This window comes from Homo sapiens, chromosome 6, assembly GCF_000001405.40.
Source record: "Homo sapiens chromosome 6, GRCh38.p14 Primary Assembly".
Taxonomy (NCBI): Eukaryota; Metazoa; Chordata; class Mammalia; order Primates; family Hominidae; genus Homo; species Homo sapiens.
The window spans coordinates 107,056,244-107,072,019 of record NC_000006.12 but is presented as its reverse complement, the minus strand read 5'-3'; the positions used below and the strand labels follow the sequence as shown (position 1 = coordinate 107,072,019).

Here is a 15,776-nt window from a genome sequence, read left to right as displayed (position 1 = left end):
CTGAAACTCAAAGAAGGATACATATTTAAGGTATACAATTTGATACGTTTTGACACGTGTCTACCAGTGAACCCACAGCCACAGTCATGATGATAAACATCTGTCACCCACTGACGTTCTCCATTTCATTCTCTGTGTCCCATCGAATTCTCCCTGCCATCCCTAGGCAATGACTATCTGCATTCTGTCACTATAGGCAAGCTTGCGTTTTCTAGAATTGTACATACACAAATGGAATCATACACTACGACCTCTTTTTTGTTATTTATTTTGAGATTTATCATGAGTACTTTGTGTACTGTATCAATAATATCTTATTGCTGAGTAATATTCCATTGTATGAATATAACATAGTTTATATACTTGTGGATTTTTCAGAAACGGGGGGTTGTTTCTACTGTCTCACAGTTGCACAGGCCAGAAAGTTCTGGGCCGGCTTTTTCTGGTCTAAGATGTGATTTCAGGCAGTGGTGGAGTTGGCATCAGACAGCCGCTCTCCACAGCCCAGTTCTCAGGTGCCCCGACCATGCATCCCAGATGAGCCTTCCCGAAAAGGGACGCCTGCTCTCCCAAAGGCTGCAGGCTAAAAGGACACACTGCTGCCTTTGGGAGCTACCATAGGTAGGAATCTCTGTCCCTTCCTGAGAGCAGACGAAGGCACGGGTCCATGGGGTGACCTGCCCGTGGCCGGCAGCTGCACAAGCCCGTTGCCTTCCTATGCTCTTCCTCCTGTTTCTTGCAGAGTTCTTGCCCAGTATTGCCAGCATCAGTGTCAGCCCTCTGACGGAAAGGAAGTCCACTGCTGGTGCCCTGTGAGAGCGCAAAGCCTCCCTGGGCCCAGCCTGAGTCTTTTCTCAGGGAATGGGGAGAGCAGCAGGTTTGGGGTGGTGGGGATGCAGGTTTGTATCAGTGGTGCATCCTTGGATGACAGAGTGATTCAGGGTGAGGAATCAGTTTCTTACATGCTCCCAAGGTTGACCTCGGCCTCTGTGTGCTACACAGACCCTTGTTTAGTGTCATAAACCACAGCACCCACCTAACACTCTGGGAAATGATTTTTGTTTTGCAGGCTCTCCTAGCAGGCATGCGGAACCGTGAGAACAGCTCGCCCTGCCAAGGCAATGGTGAGCAGGCCGGCAGGGGCAGGAGCCTGGGCAATGTGTGGCCTGGAGAGGAGGAGCCCTGCAACGATGCCACCACCCCTTCCTACAAGAAGCCTCTGTATGGCATCTCGCACAAGATCATGGAGAAGAAGAATCCTCCCTCGGGGGACCTGCTAAACGTGTACGAGCTCTTTGAGAAGGCAAACGCCAGCAACAGCCCCTCGTCACTGCGGCTCCTGAATGAGCCACAGAAGCGGGACTGTGGCAGCACCGGGGCAGGCACTGACAACGACCCCAACATCTACTTCCTGATCCAGAAGATGTTCTACATGCTGAACACCCTCACGTCCAACATGTCCCAGCTGCACAGCAAGGTGGACCTGCTCTCCCTTGAGGTGAGCCGCATCAAGAAGCAGGTGAGCCCCACTGAGATGGTGGCCAAATTCCAGCCGCCCCCTGAGTACCAGCTCACAGCCGCAGAGCTCAAGCAGATCGTGGACCAGAGCCTGTCAGGGGGGGACCTGGCCTGCCGCTTGCTGGTGCAGCTCTTCCCCGAGCTCTTCAGCGACGTGGACTTCTCCCGGGGCTGCAGTGCCTGTGGCTTTGCGGCCAAGCGCAAGCTGGAGTCGCTGCACCTGCAGCTCATCCGCAACTATGTGGAGGTCTACTACCCCTCGGTGAAGGACACGGCTGTGTGGCAGGCCGAGTGCCTGCCCCAGCTGAACGACTTCTTCAGCCGCTTCTGGGCCCAGCGGGAAATGGAGGACAGCCAGCCCAGCGGCCAGGTCGCCAGCTTCTTTGAGGCAGAGCAGGTGGACCCCGGCCACTTCCTGGACAACAAAGACCAGGAGGAGGCCCTGTCTCTTGACCGGAGCAGCACCATCGCCTCAGACCACGTGGTGGACACGCAGGACCTCACTGAGTTCCTGGACGAAGCCTCCTCACCAGGCGAGTTTGCCGTCTTCCTCCTCCACCGGCTCTTCCCCGAGCTCTTCGACCACCGCAAGCTGGGTGAACAGTACAGCTGCTACGGGGACGGTGGAAAGCAGGAGCTGGACCCGCAGCGGCTGCAGATCATCCGCAACTACACGGAGATCTACTTCCCTGACATGCAGGAGGAGGAGGCCTGGCTGCAGCAGTGTGCCCAGCGCATCAACGACGAGCTCGAGGGCCTGGGGCTGGACGCGGGCAGTGAAGGCGACCCCCCGCGTGATGACTGCTACGACTCCTCCAGTCTGCCCGACGACATCTCAGTGGTCAAGGTGGAGGACAGCTTCGAGGGCGAGCGGCCGGGTCGCCGCTCCAAGAAGATCTGGCTGGTGCCCATCGACTTCGACAAGTTAGAGATCCCCCAGCCTGACTTCGAGGTGCCCGGTGCCGACTGCCTGCTCAGCAAGGAGCAGCTACGCAGCATCTACGAGAGCAGCCTGTCCATCGGCAACTTCGCCTCGCGCCTGCTGGTGCACCTGTTCCCCGAGCTCTTCACGCACGAGAACCTGCGCAAGCAGTACAACTGCAGCGGCTCCCTGGGCAAGAAGCAGCTGGACCCCTCCCGCATCAAGCTCATCCGCCACTACGTGCAGCTGCTCTACCCACGCGCCAAAAACGACCGCGTCTGGACCCTGGAGTTCGTGGGCAAACTGGATGAGCGCTGCCGGCGCCGGGACACGGAGCAAAGGCGCTCCTACCAGCAGCAGCGCAAGGTCCACGTGCCGGGCCCTGAGTGCAGAGACTTGACCAGCTATGCAATCAACCCCGAGAGGTTCCGGGAGGAGTTTGAGGGGCCCCCACTGCCCCCCGAGAGGAGCAGCAAGGACTTTTGCAAGATCCCCTTGGACGAGCTGGTGGTCCCCTCGCCTGACTTCCCGGTGCCTTCTCCCTACCTGCTGTCTGACAAGGAGGTGCGTGAGATCGTGCAGCAGAGCCTCTCCGTGGGCAACTTTGCCGCCCGGCTCCTCGTCCGCCTGTTTCCCGAACTCTTCACCGCCGAGAACCTCCGGCTGCAGTACAACCATTCCGGGGCTTGCAACAAGAAGCAACTGGACCCCACGCGGCTGCGGCTCATCCGCCACTACGTGGAAGCCGTCTACCCGGTGGAGAAGATGGAGGAGGTGTGGCACTACGAATGTATCCCCAGCATCGATGAGAGGTGCCGCCGCCCCAACAGGAAAAAATGCGACATCCTCAAGAAAGCAAAGAAAGTGGAGAAGTGAAGGCCCGTGACCTGCCCAGAGATTCGGGGTCACCAGAGGCTGAGCGATGGGCACCCTTGGGACTGAGCAATACTTGGGAGCACGCCTATGGCATCCACAGACAGGCACCTTATGTCCGTGGGGAGTGGCTTACTACATTTGCACACGTAAACACCCACCCAACCGCAAGAAAGAAGCCTTGAGTTTGGTCTCTTGTACTTACAACTTCTGTCCTATGTGCCCCGGCGGGGCAGCCTGAGTGTGGGGAGAGCAAGCTGTGAGGGCAGGGACCAGAGGTTAGGGGTCCTCTCTCCCTGGTTGTGCCCTCCCCAGCCCCTCACAGCTTATAATGCAAACCCAGCAACTCTCTTGCCCCTCTTCCCATATTTTACATCTTCCATTTTGACCCATTTTTTTTTAATTAAAAAGAAACCCTTAAAAAAAATCATTGGGCTCTTTGGGGGCCATTTTACTTAGAAAAAAATCTCTTTAAAAGTGCCATGTTCGTGCACAGTGGCTAATCATAGCTTCAGGTGGCATGGATACTGATTTTACTGACCTTGTTTTTTACATCTGATTTTGGAAGAGTCAAGATGCCCCTTGGATGGCAGTAGAGGGGATGGAATAGTGCGAAGTCCTTTACGACCACATGCAAGTTTTCCCTTCTGCTCTGGTGCCAGGGAAGGCTTCCGTTCAGCTTGGCCTGTCCTTCAGGCGCGTTGGTAGAATGTTGTGTCACTCTTTAGGCGAGAACACTGGATGATGATGATATGAATGTAGACAGCCGTGGAAACACGTTCGCAGTGTCTCCATCTGAGCCGTGTCCTTCCGCTGCCCCCATTCCTTCTCCATACATGGTTGCTGGTTGGAGGGAGTGGACATGTTTCCTTGGAAAACAGTGCAGGGGCTTTTGGCTTCTTGTTAGATTTAAGGGTGGGCCTCTTTGAGCTCACCATGAACTGTTTACTTTTCCGTGTGTGTATTTGTACAAAATCCAGGTTCCGGGAGCTTTGTGGTGACTTCCCCAGACCTCAGTGTTAGCTACTCCAGGCAGTACTACATCCTCATTCCTCAGGGCGGGCCCAGGTCTGGGCCCCTCTTGGGGATACCATGCATTGGAAGGACACAGGCCATTTTAGATGGGGTACACATGTCCCTTCCCAGGGTCCACTCAGAACTTTCCTCTTGGACTCTCTAGAAGGTCCTGCTGTCCTATACCTGGCCACCCCCTGCCTTGGGGGGCACATGTCTTCGTTCCCTCCCGACTGGGAATGTCAGGCTCCTGCAGGCCAGCTGCATGCTCTCCAGGAGCACCAACTGGGAAATCCCCTGACAGGTAAAGTCCTTTAAAATGATACTTTTACCTACCTAACTCTGGGGGCCAAATGCTTAAGAGGGAAAGGAAACAGTCGAATGCAAACAGTGTGTCATACCAGAGTCCTGGAAAATTTATTGAATCACACAGGGTAGTCATAGAACCCCTGTGGGATGGCTTAATATTTTGCTACTTTAAAATGCAGAGATAACAGAAACAATCTGGATTTTCTTCATTCAGCTGATAAGAACTTCAGTTCCAGTGGCTGTATGACATAATTTTGCCTGTACCCAGGAGCATTTTTTAAAATACAGGATTTTAAAAGCAATGTTAAGTTGCTGATCTAACTAGTAAATTTGCTCCTAAGTGTCATTTACAGATTATTTCTGTTGAAACTGCAAACAGATTTAGAAAGGCACAGGGACTGAATGACTCTCTGTCTTACACAGCTACTCATGCACACACGCACTGCTTACTAAAAGCTGAAGTGAGATGAAGGGGGCCTACACGAATAACAAGTTCAACTTCTTTGTGCCTGGAAAGGAGGGACTGGAGCAGCCAGGAGACTCACTTTCCCCCCTCGCTTGGGCCCTTCTCTATGCCTTAGTCTCTCCAGCACATGCACACAGCATGCACACACACGCACCCTACCCAAAGACAGCTGTGGCCCTCTCCCACCACCTCCCCCTTCCCACCGCTGGTTGTTGGGGGCTGGAGGCGGGAGGTCCCATGGAATTTGTTCTGGTTTCTAGGATGTAAACGAGGACTCCAAGCCATGAATTGCCCTGCTTTCTAGAGGGTGGAATGTTGACCCTGCAACTTTAGAAGCACAATCATTTATTAATAATTTTTTTGAAACTCCCATCTACCCCTGTTAGAGAAATCAACAGGTTCTAGGAATTAAATATGTCTCTTTGTAACCCAGAGCATGTTCAATTTTTGGAAACCGTATTTCAGTGATTTTCTTAATACCTTACATGTGTAGGGCATCTTCCCCCAGAATCTTACAGTCCCTTTCTGTGAAGAGAAGTGGACACACGTGGGAACTCTCACCATCTCTGGACTGTCGTCAGGAAACGCCTGCAGGTCCTTGCCCTGTCTGTATGGTGTCCTCACTTCTCCATCCATACAGGTGGCTCCAGTGGGCATTTTTTTATTTTAAATTTTTTACATGAAGCAATAGAAGTACAAAATACTTATTTTTTCAAAATTTAATGTGTTCCATGAAACCTGTTGGCAGTCGCTTTCCTTCCCCCACATCTAAATTCTTTGGTTTTTAGTTGTTTGTTTTTTGGATTTTTTTTTTTTTTTTTTTGGCCTTGTATCCCAAGGACTAAAAGATTAGCACAGACACGTTTTGATGTTGAATGAACTAGTAAGTCACAGTAGGTGGTAGTCTTCATTGATTTCTCTGTAAGTTTTTAAAGAATGTATGAAGATAGTCACGAATGTACTGAGTGTTCGCATCCCCCTTCAGTTCACCTTGGCTGTGTCTACAGGACAACAAATGTTTGACAGGGAATAAAGTCGTGTCTGGTGTCATTTGCGCTAGCGTGCCCCTCCCCTTTCGGTGTTGGCTCCAAACCTTCCTTTCCTTTTATGTTTGTGGGGAGTGGGGAACCACATCAGCAGCAATCATCAACCAACCAACCAATGGGATCTACTTAGTGGTGAATAGATTGGCTATTTAATTGGTAAAAGTTGCTGGTCTGACCACACCACAGCATGACCACTGGGTTCATTTAGAGATGGCCTCCGTTTCCAACGTTCCCCACAAATGTTTGCTTCTTTCCCAGTCAAGAGGGGATCTCGAGACTCCCGAGTGGAGGTCGTGAGCTTGCACCCCGCCTGGCTGTGTAGATCGACTGTATAGATACATGAAGTGGGGGTGAGGGCCAAGGGGCTATTACTGCTGTTGGGAAATACTTGCCTCTCGTAGATCCAGCCTTAATGTTTTTCTGACATCCTAGTAATAGCAGACCCTGCACAAAGTGGATATCAGACTTAATACTGTGAGGAGACAAAATAATGAGAATAGTTTTACCAAAGATAATGAAATCTCGCATCATGTCTGCATTTTACCATAGATTGGAGTGCATCCTTAGGAAACTGAATGTAACAAAAACCCAGGACATTTTTGGAAATTGTATGCTCTCTAGCAACTTTGTGTGAATTTTTATACAAACACTGTTTTATGAGTTATATAAAATGTTATAAAAATAGAAAAACATGGTCTCGTAACATGTTATTTTCTTAGAGCACTGGTCTCTCAGAATATGTCTTGGTCTATTTGTCTTTGTGCGTGGCCTCCTCACCCACCTCCCAGGGAAGAACGTGAATATTCCGGGGGATTTCAGCTTCTGGGGCTTCCATACTCTACGTGTCAGGGGTACAGCTCATAGGATTTCAGTTTGGCCACAGCTGAATGAATGAGAAATTGCCAGATAAATCCTCCAAACCATTTCTCCACAAACCACTTCCTGGCCATGTAGTGGGAGGCTTGTTTGACCTTTTTTAACCTTTCCTGGTCAGGTGCCAGGCCAGTCCTGCAAAGCCAGCAGAGTTTCATTTTCATTTAACCGCCTTTTTTTTTTTCACTTTGGATCAAATGGGTTTTAGTTTCCCGCCGCCCCAACCCTGCTAGAGTGCAGTGGTATAATCATGGCTCACTGCAGCCTCGACTTCCTGGGCTCAAGTGATCTTCCTGCCACAGACTCCTAAGTAGCTGGGACTACAGGCCCACACTACCATGCCTGGCTAGTTTTATTATTGTAGAGATGTGACCTCACCATGTTACCCAGGCTGGTTTCAAACCACTGGCCTCAAGTAATCCTCCCACCTCAACCCCCAAAAGTATTGGGATTACTGGTGTGAGCCACTGTGCCCGGCCTCATGTATTATTATTTGTAAAAAGGGATGTTTTCCCTCACCTTCTCTTCTCTTTGGCTAATTATAAATCATTAAACTTAATATTTTATAGTAATAATTAGGCCAGGTGCGTTGGCTAACACCTGTAATCCTAACACTTTGGGAGGCCAAGGTGGGTGGATCACCTGAAGTCAGGAGTTTGAGACCAGCCTGGCCAACATGGTGAAACCCCATCTCTACTAAAAATATAAAAATTAGCCAGGCATGGTGGTGCATGCCTGTAATCTCAGCTACTCGGGAGGCTGAGGTGGGAGAATCGCTTGGACGTGGGAGGCAAAGTTGCAGTGAGCCGAGATCATGCCACTGTACTCCAGCCTGGGCAACAGAAACTCTGTCTCAAGGAAAAAAATATATATATTTATATATTTTTAAATATATATAATATTATACATTAGATGTAATATATTTATATATATATAACATATAGAGTAAAAATTCTATCTCAAGATGTCAGAGAAACTTCCTTGGCCCAGGGATCAGAAGATATAAAGTAGTTGGTGGCTCGTGATTGAAACACTTACTACAGTGAGTATTTGCTTATTTGATAGCCTTGAAATCTATACAGCCAGCACATCTGTGCTGTAAACCTTCTCAGCAGGTGTGCCTTGGTTGGGTGCTGGACCTGAACCTCCAAATGCTAAATCCACTAGCCAGTTTAAGCAAGAAGTGAGGAAAAGCTAAATTCTTTGAGACTCTTGTGGCTGTGGGTATCTTTGTCTTCTTCCAAAAAGAACATTCACAGAGTATTTCAGTGAGAGTATACTTGTAAGATCTAGTTCTCAGAAATAATAACTCGACACCAGATTATCATGATCATTGGAATGGTGAAATGCAGTGGACTCTAAGGAGCTTTCAGATAAGTCTGGAATATCTGGGCCGGCGTGGTGGCTCACACCTGTAATCTCAGCACTTTGGGAGGCCGAGGCGGGAGGATCACTTGAGGTCAGGAGTTCGATGCCATCCTGGCCAGCATGGTAAAACCCCGTCTCTACTGAAAATACCAAAATTGGCTGGGTGTGGTTGTGAGCACCTGTGGTCCCAGCTACTTAGGAGGCTGAGGCAGGAGAACTGCTTGCACCTGGGAGGTGGATGTTGCAGTGAGCCGAGATCACACCACTGCACTCCAGCCTGGGCGACAGAGTGAGACTCCATCTCAAAAAAAGAAAAAAAAAATTTGGAATATCTGGCCAGTGGTGGAGAAAGGAAAGAACAAGCATTGCTTCTGACTGGGATGGCACCAACATTCCTTGAGTATATTGTATGTGCCAGACACTGCTAAGAATGGAACCTGGGCAACGTGTTATCCTTTCAAAAGCCTTGTGAGGTAAGTACCATAATTATGCCTTGTTAACAGGTAAGAAAGCTAGGGACGCAAATGGTGTCTACATTATCTCATTTGCTTCTCATAAAAACTCATTGCTGTGGTCACTGTTATTAACTCAGTTTTGTGGTAAGGAGAGAAGTTGGTTTCTTGCTCAAGTTCACACAACTGGAAATTGGCGGTGCCAGGATTTGAGCCCAAGTTGGCCTCTGATTTCCATCATACCCAAGCCACAATACACAAGACTCAGATCCTAAAACAATTGCAAGTCAGCAGTGGTGTCTATCACTCCCATCCTCTAAGCCCCAGTGTGTCTGATCTTAGATATAGGAGTGCTTGTTTTAGAATTAAGCTTCAATGACAGAGCCTTGGGAGCTAATGAATGTAAATAATAGAATTAGGGTGGGCGCGGTGGCTCACTCTTGTAATCCCAGCACTTTAGGGGGCCAAAGTGGGTGGATCACCTGAGGTCAGGAGTTGAGACCAGCTTGGCCAACATGGTAAAACCCCACCTCTACTAAAAATACAAAAATTAGCTGGGCATGGTGGCGCATGCCCGTAATCCCAGCTACTCGGGAAGCTGAGGCAGGAGAATCGTTCGAACCCGGGAGGCAGAGGTTGCAGTGAGCCGAAATGGCGCCACTGCACTCCAGCCTGGGCGACAGAGTGAGATCTTTTCTCAAAAAATGAAACAAACACAAAAAACTTATCTGGGCATGGTGGCGTGCACCTGTAATCCCAGCAACTGAGGAGGCTGAGTCAGGAGAATTGCTTGAACCCAGGAGACAGAAGTTGCAGTGAACTGAGATCAAGCCACTGCACTCCAGCCTGGGTGACAGAGTGAGACTGTCTCTAAATAAATAAAATAAAATAATAGAATCAAGCTAATTCTAAATAATTATAGCAATTGTGAACTTTTTTTTTTTTTAAGAATGTGAAAGTAACTGCCGTAGATCAGGTTCCCTAGGAGCAGAGGCAGAGACTGAGATTCTTAGGCCATTAATTGAGGGCGTGCTGTCAGGAGACAGGACTCAGGAAAGGAAGAGAACCGGGGAAGGCGAGAACCAAGATTGTGGTCTCCAATGCAGTCTAGCCACACTCTCCTCCATGAGGAAGCCCTGCAATGTGAATTGTATGGCAGAATTAGTTCTGGTTGAGGCAAAGGGGCTGCTGGTGGGTTGTTGTCCGAGGTCTTCCCTGGGAAAGGGGTAGTGTCCCTGTCCCTCTGGCCAGGACAAGGCTCCAGAGGTGCCGCTGTGGTGGTTAGCAGTCAGCCCTCAGCAGCCAGGGCGTGGGTGCTCTGGTAAAGGGGTTTGGGTGGGATTCTGTCTGCATCCACTGCTGCAGTGGGTCTCAAGAGTTTACCTGCATCAGAATCACCAAGGAACAAGTTAAAACAGATCGCCGTGAACCACCCGCAGAGATTCTGATGCAGAGGGTCTGGGGTGGGGCCCAAGAATTTGCATGTCTAACAAGTTCTCAGGTGATGCTGGCGCTGCTTGTCCTGGAACCGCAGGGGAGGACCAAGGCACTATAGGTATCTTCCCAAAATGTGCTGTGTGTGGTAGAGAAACTGAAAGGTTAGCATTTTCCTGGGTATTAGCAACAGATCTGAGTTGAAATCTGTGGTTTCCTGTTGTATTCAAATAAAACTGACTGCTGCTTTAACTAAATCTTTAGCTTAGGAAACTAAATCTTAGCTTTCAGGCCGGTGGGAAGAGGCCGGTTTACTAATGCTTCACCATCAGGGCTTATGGGCACTGGCCACATACAGCACTTGACAGAACGTTTCTTCACAGGGAAGGCTGTCTGTTGATTTTGGGGATTAAGAATTCATTTGTTCTTCTAAACAGTCTTTGTATTCCTGATGGTGAACTGTGTTCCTAATAGAGGTTGAGAGCGTGTAACGCTACAGCCTGTCCTTCCAGGAGCTCCTACAGTGTGACTCTTGTGGATTCAGAAGTGGCCACGGGTCCTGAAATCAGAGTTCTGTTTCTAATAATAGCTCCCATTTTTGAGCACCTGTATTGGGTCAGGGATGTTGCTGGGAACTTGATATATGCCATTTCATTTAATCCTTACAGAAACCCATTTTATAGATGGGGAAATGGATGCTTCCAGAGTTAAATATCTTGGCCAAGGTCAAATAGCTGGCAGAGCTGGGGCTTCTAACGAAGGCCAGGCTGACTCCAAAGTTTGTGCTCTTCAACTCTCTGCTGCCACTTATGTAGCTGTGCCAAGTAAATCAATTTCTCTGTCTCTCTGCCTAGTGGTTCCTGTGATTTAACTTGGGGTTTTGCTGACTGTCCACTATTTCTGGGCTTCTGGATCGCCCTGGTGAGAGAGTATAACCCAGGAAACCGGCCGGGTGCAGGGGCTCACGCCTGCAATCCCAGCACTTTGGGAGGCTGAGGCAGGTGGATTACCTGAGGTCAGGAGTTCGAGACCAGCCTGGCCAACATAGTGAACCCTCATCTCTACTAAAAATACAAAAAATTAGCTGGGCATGGTGGTAGGTGCCTGTAATTCCAGCTACTTGGGAGGCTGAGGCAGGAGAATCGCTTGAACCTGGGAGTTGGAGGTTGCAGTGAGCCGAGATTGCGCCATTGCACTCCAGACTGGGCCACAAGAGCGAAACTCTGTCTCAAAAAACAAAAAGTAAACCCCCCCCCCCAAAACCAGGAAACCTTTCAAAGCCACAGAAAATAGACTAAGGAATGCAGTAAGAATATCTCTGCCTCTAAGGCAGTTGATTCATTCAGCAAATACGTTTGGAGGACCAGCTATCTGCTGGGCAGTGATCCATAATTCTAACAAGTCCCAACCTCGTGAGTTGGTAGTTAAGAAGTTGGCCAGGCATGGTAGCTCATGCCTGTAATCCCAGCACTTTGGGAGGCCGAGACGGGCGGATCACCTGAGGTCAGGAGTTCAAGACCAGCCTGGCCAACATGGTGAAACCCCGTCTCTACTAAAAAATACAAAAATTAGCTAGGCATGGTTGCAGGCGCCTTAATCTCAGCTACTTGGGAGGCAGAGGCAGGAGAATCGTTTGAACCCGGGAGGCCGAGATTGCAGTGAGCCGAGATCGAGCCATTGTACTCAAGCCTGGGGCACAAGAGCGAGACTTCTCCCAGAAAAAAAAAAAAAAGTCCATTTGAGCTTGAAGAGAAGGTTTTGGTAGTAAACAACACAAAACCTGACATCTCTTACCTGAAGCCAATTTTCAACATGTACGAGGATAGAACCAGACTGGGAAGCTTGGCTCCTCCTCACAGTGCAGACAGCTGAGGCCATCGCAGATGGAATTAGGCTGGGCTCTGGCCTGAGGCACACCTGCGGGACTACAGTATTTCCTGACTCCTGTTTCTCCAGAGACTGAAACATAGTTGCTAAGTGTGCTGTGAGTGCTGACAGCAGAATTCAAGAGCCCTGGTGTTTCTGGTGTGTGTTTCTGGTATAGCTTGTGCTCTTTTTGACACAGGGTATTAGACATGCCTCTCCTCCTTGGTTTTGACAAGCTGAAATCTTAGCCCAGGCACAGTTCCATGCGTAAAGAGGCATATACTTCAGCATAGGTAAGGAAGGCCCTAGTGATGGGTGCCTTCTCCTCAGGTAGTTCATGCTGATTGCATTGCTTACGTCCAAAGAGTTGGCCACTATCATTTCAGCCCCACCTTTCATTTGTCTGTCTTAGAATCAAGAATTAAAGGATTTAAGTAAAATAAGGGTTACTAAAAAAAAAAAAAAATTAAGGGATTTCTCCTACAATCCTAACAAAAATTCTACATGCATTCTGTGAAGAAGCATCTAATAGTGACTCCTCTGAGTGAGACTCCAGAAGAGAGTCCTTACCGGACCTCTAAACAGAAATTCTCCATTTTAGACACCTGTGGTCCGGCCTTGACTGTGGTCTTTAGGATTTCACTTGTCTACCTTAGGGAAGGTCTCATCAACTTTAAGAATAAAGTTGCATTGGCCAGGCGTGGTGGCTCATGACTATAATCCTAGCACTTTGGGAGGACGAGGCGGGTGGATCGCCTGAGGTCAGGAATTCCAGACCAGCCTGGCCAACATGGCGAAACACCATCTCTATTAAAAATATAAAAAATTAGCCAGGCGTGGTGGTGGACCCCTATAATCGCAGCTATTCAGGAGTCTGAGGCAGGAGAATTGCTTGAACCCAGGAGCCAGAGGGTGCAGTGAGCCAAGATCGTACCAAAAGGCAGAAGCAGCAGGCTGTGAGGCTTGTGTGTATAAGAAAGATGTTATGCTGGGCGCGGTGGCTCAGCATCCATACAGAATCCCAGCACTTTGGGAGGCTGAGGCAGGTGGATCATGAGGTCAGGAGTTCGAGACCAGCCTGACCAACATGGTGAAACCCCGTCTCTACTAAAAATACAAAAATTAGCTGGGCGTAGTTGTGCGCACCTGTAATCCCAGCTACTCAGGAGGCTGAGGCAGGAGAATCGCTTGAACCCGGGAGGCAGAGTTGCAGTGAGCTGAGATCATGCCACTGCACTCCAGCCTGGGTGACAGAGCGAGACTTCATGTCAAGAAAAAAAAAAGGAGAAAAAAAAGTTATGAGGAGTTCATGTTAAAAAATAATCTCTTTACGGCTGGGCGCGGTGGCTCAGGCCTGTAATCCCAGCACTTTGGGAGGCTGAGGCGGGTGGATCACGAGGTCAGGAGTTCGAGATCAGCCTGACCAACATGGTTAAACCCCATCTCTACTAAAAATACAAAAAAATAGCTGGGCATGGTGGCGGGCACCTGTAATCCCAGCTACTCAGGAGGCTGAGGCAGGAGAATCATTTGAACCTGGAAGGCGGAGGTTGCAGTGAGCCGAGATCGTGCCATTGCATTCCAGCCTGGGTGACAGGGCAAGACTCTGTCTTGAAAAAAAAAATACAAAAATTAGCTGGGCGTGGTGGCAGTCACTTATAATCCCAGCTACTTGGGAGGCTAAGGCTGGAGAATCCCTTGAGCCCAGAAGGCAGAGGTTGTACTGAGCCGAGATCGCACCATTGCACTCCAGCCTGGGTGACAAGAGTGAAACTCTGTCTCAAAATAATAGTAATATTAATCATCTCTTTACACCTGTATTATACTGGCAAAAATTAGAAAGCTGAGTAATGCCAGGGGCTGAGGTGATGGGTCTAAGGCACTCTCCTGTGGGAAAGCAGCCAGTGCAGCCATTCTGGTGGATAGAAGTGCTATGTTATTTGTCGAGAGGAGAACTGGGTACAGTTTGGGACAGTGTCACTGGGAGCATGGGTAAGCAAAGTGCATGGTGGATGCACTTTGGTCTTTATCCTGCAGCAGTGAGAAGCAGTGGATTCAATGTACCCATAATGCCATGAATGGATCTTAAAAAACATCCTGAACATGCAAGAGGAAATATAATAATGCCATTTGTAAAATTTAAAATATATGGACAGAACAGCAAAATATGTTTTACAGGAGCATACACCATCACCCCGAACTGAAATGTTTTCTTCCAGTTTCTTTCTTTTCTTTTCTTTTCTTTTTTTTTGAGACAGAGTTTCACTCTTGTTGCCCAGGCTGGAGTACAATGGCACGATCTCGGCTCACTGCAACCTCCGCCTCCCGGGTTCAAGCGATTCTCCTGCTTCAGCCTCCCGAGTAGCTGGGATTACAGGCGTGCGCCACCATGCCCGGCGAATTTTTTTGTATTTTTAGTAGAGATGGGGGTTTCTCTATGTTGGTCAGGCTGGTCTTGAACTCCCGACCTTAGGTGATCTGCCTGCCTCTGCCTCCCAAAGTGCTGGGATTACAGGTGTGAGCCATTGCACCCGGCACTTCCAGTTTCTTGAAAGCCAGTAATGTTTCTATCTCCTCCCCAACGACTATTGCCCAAATAAACCATGACTTTAAAATTATCCCCCAGGCCGGGCGCGGTGGCTCACACCTGTAATCCCAGCACTTTGGGAGGCCGAGGCGGGCAGATCATGAGGTCAGGAGATTGAGACCATCCTGGCCAACATGCTGAAACCCCGTCTCTACTAAAAATACAAAAATTTAGTCAGGACTTGGAACATCTTTATGAAACAGAGAAACATGAAAGCAATTCATAAAGATTTATGGAGCTCTTGGAACTCATTACTAGACCCAAATGATAACTGCCTTTTAATGTGGTCCTGGCAAGGCTTCCTCAGTGAAAAATGTGACCAACATATGAAAAGATTAAAGAAAAAAATGTCTAATGCAGTGGTTCTCAACTGGAGATGATTTTTCCTGCTGGGGAAGTTTGGCAATATCTGGAGATATTTTTGGTGGTCATGACTGAAGAGGTGCTGTGGGCCTCGTGTAGGTAGAGGCCAGGCATGCTGCTGAACACCCTCCAATATACAGGACAGCAAATACCTATCTGACTTAAAATGTCAATAGTGCTGAGGTTGAGGAACCCTGTTCTAATTAGGGTGACAAGGAAGAATTGTGTTTTTGTTTTGTTTTTTGAGATGGAGATTCGCTCTTGTTGCTCAGGCTGGAGTGCAGTGGCATGATCTCTGCTCACTGCAAACTCTCCCTCCCGGGTTCAAGTGATTCTCCTGCCTCAGCCTCCTGAGTAGTTGAGATTACAGGTGCCCGCCACCACACCCAGCTATTTTTTTGTATTTTTAGTAGAGACGGGGTTTCATCATATTGGCCAGGCTGGTCTCAAACTCCTGACCTCAGGATCACCCTGATCCACCCGCCTTGGCCTGCCAAAGTACAGGAATTACAGGAGTGAGCAACTGTGCCCAGCCAGAAATTTTCTTTTTTTTTTTTTGACGGAGTCTTGCTCTGTCACCAGGCTGGAGAGCAGTGGTATAATCTGGGGTCACTGCAACCTCCGCCTCCCGGTTTCAAGTGATTCTCCTGCCTCAGCCTCCTGAGTAGCTGGGACTATAGGCACG

At 48.9% G+C, this 15,776-nt stretch overlaps 1 protein-coding gene across 4 annotated transcripts in view, besides 1 other annotated feature; it reads left to right on the top strand.

The window, feature by feature from the left end:
• BEND3 (BEN domain containing 3) overlaps positions 1-6,838 on the top strand; it is a 50,334-nt gene extending 43,496 nt beyond the window's left edge. For all 4 annotated transcript variants that reach the window (NM_001367314.1, XM_011536005.4, XM_005267080.5 and 1 more), the window contains one exon: positions 1,070-6,838. In NM_001367314.1, coding sequence (NP_001354243.1) covers positions 1,070-3,316 — 2,247 coding nt within the window. In that variant the 3' untranslated portion in view covers positions 3,317-6,838. The remainder of the gene's footprint in view (positions 1-1,069) is intronic.
• Positions 9,768-10,663: an enhancer, noted in NCBI's record as "NANOG-H3K27ac-H3K4me1 hESC enhancer chr6:107382561-107383456 (GRCh37/hg19 assembly coordinates)". NCBI's record gives its function as "activates a minimal SCP1, AML or CMV promoter by ChIP-STARR-seq in naive and primed H9 embryonic stem cells {active_cell/tissue: H9 hESC(naive and primed)}" and the evidence as "EXISTENCE:reporter gene assay evidence [ECO:0000049][PMID:30033119]".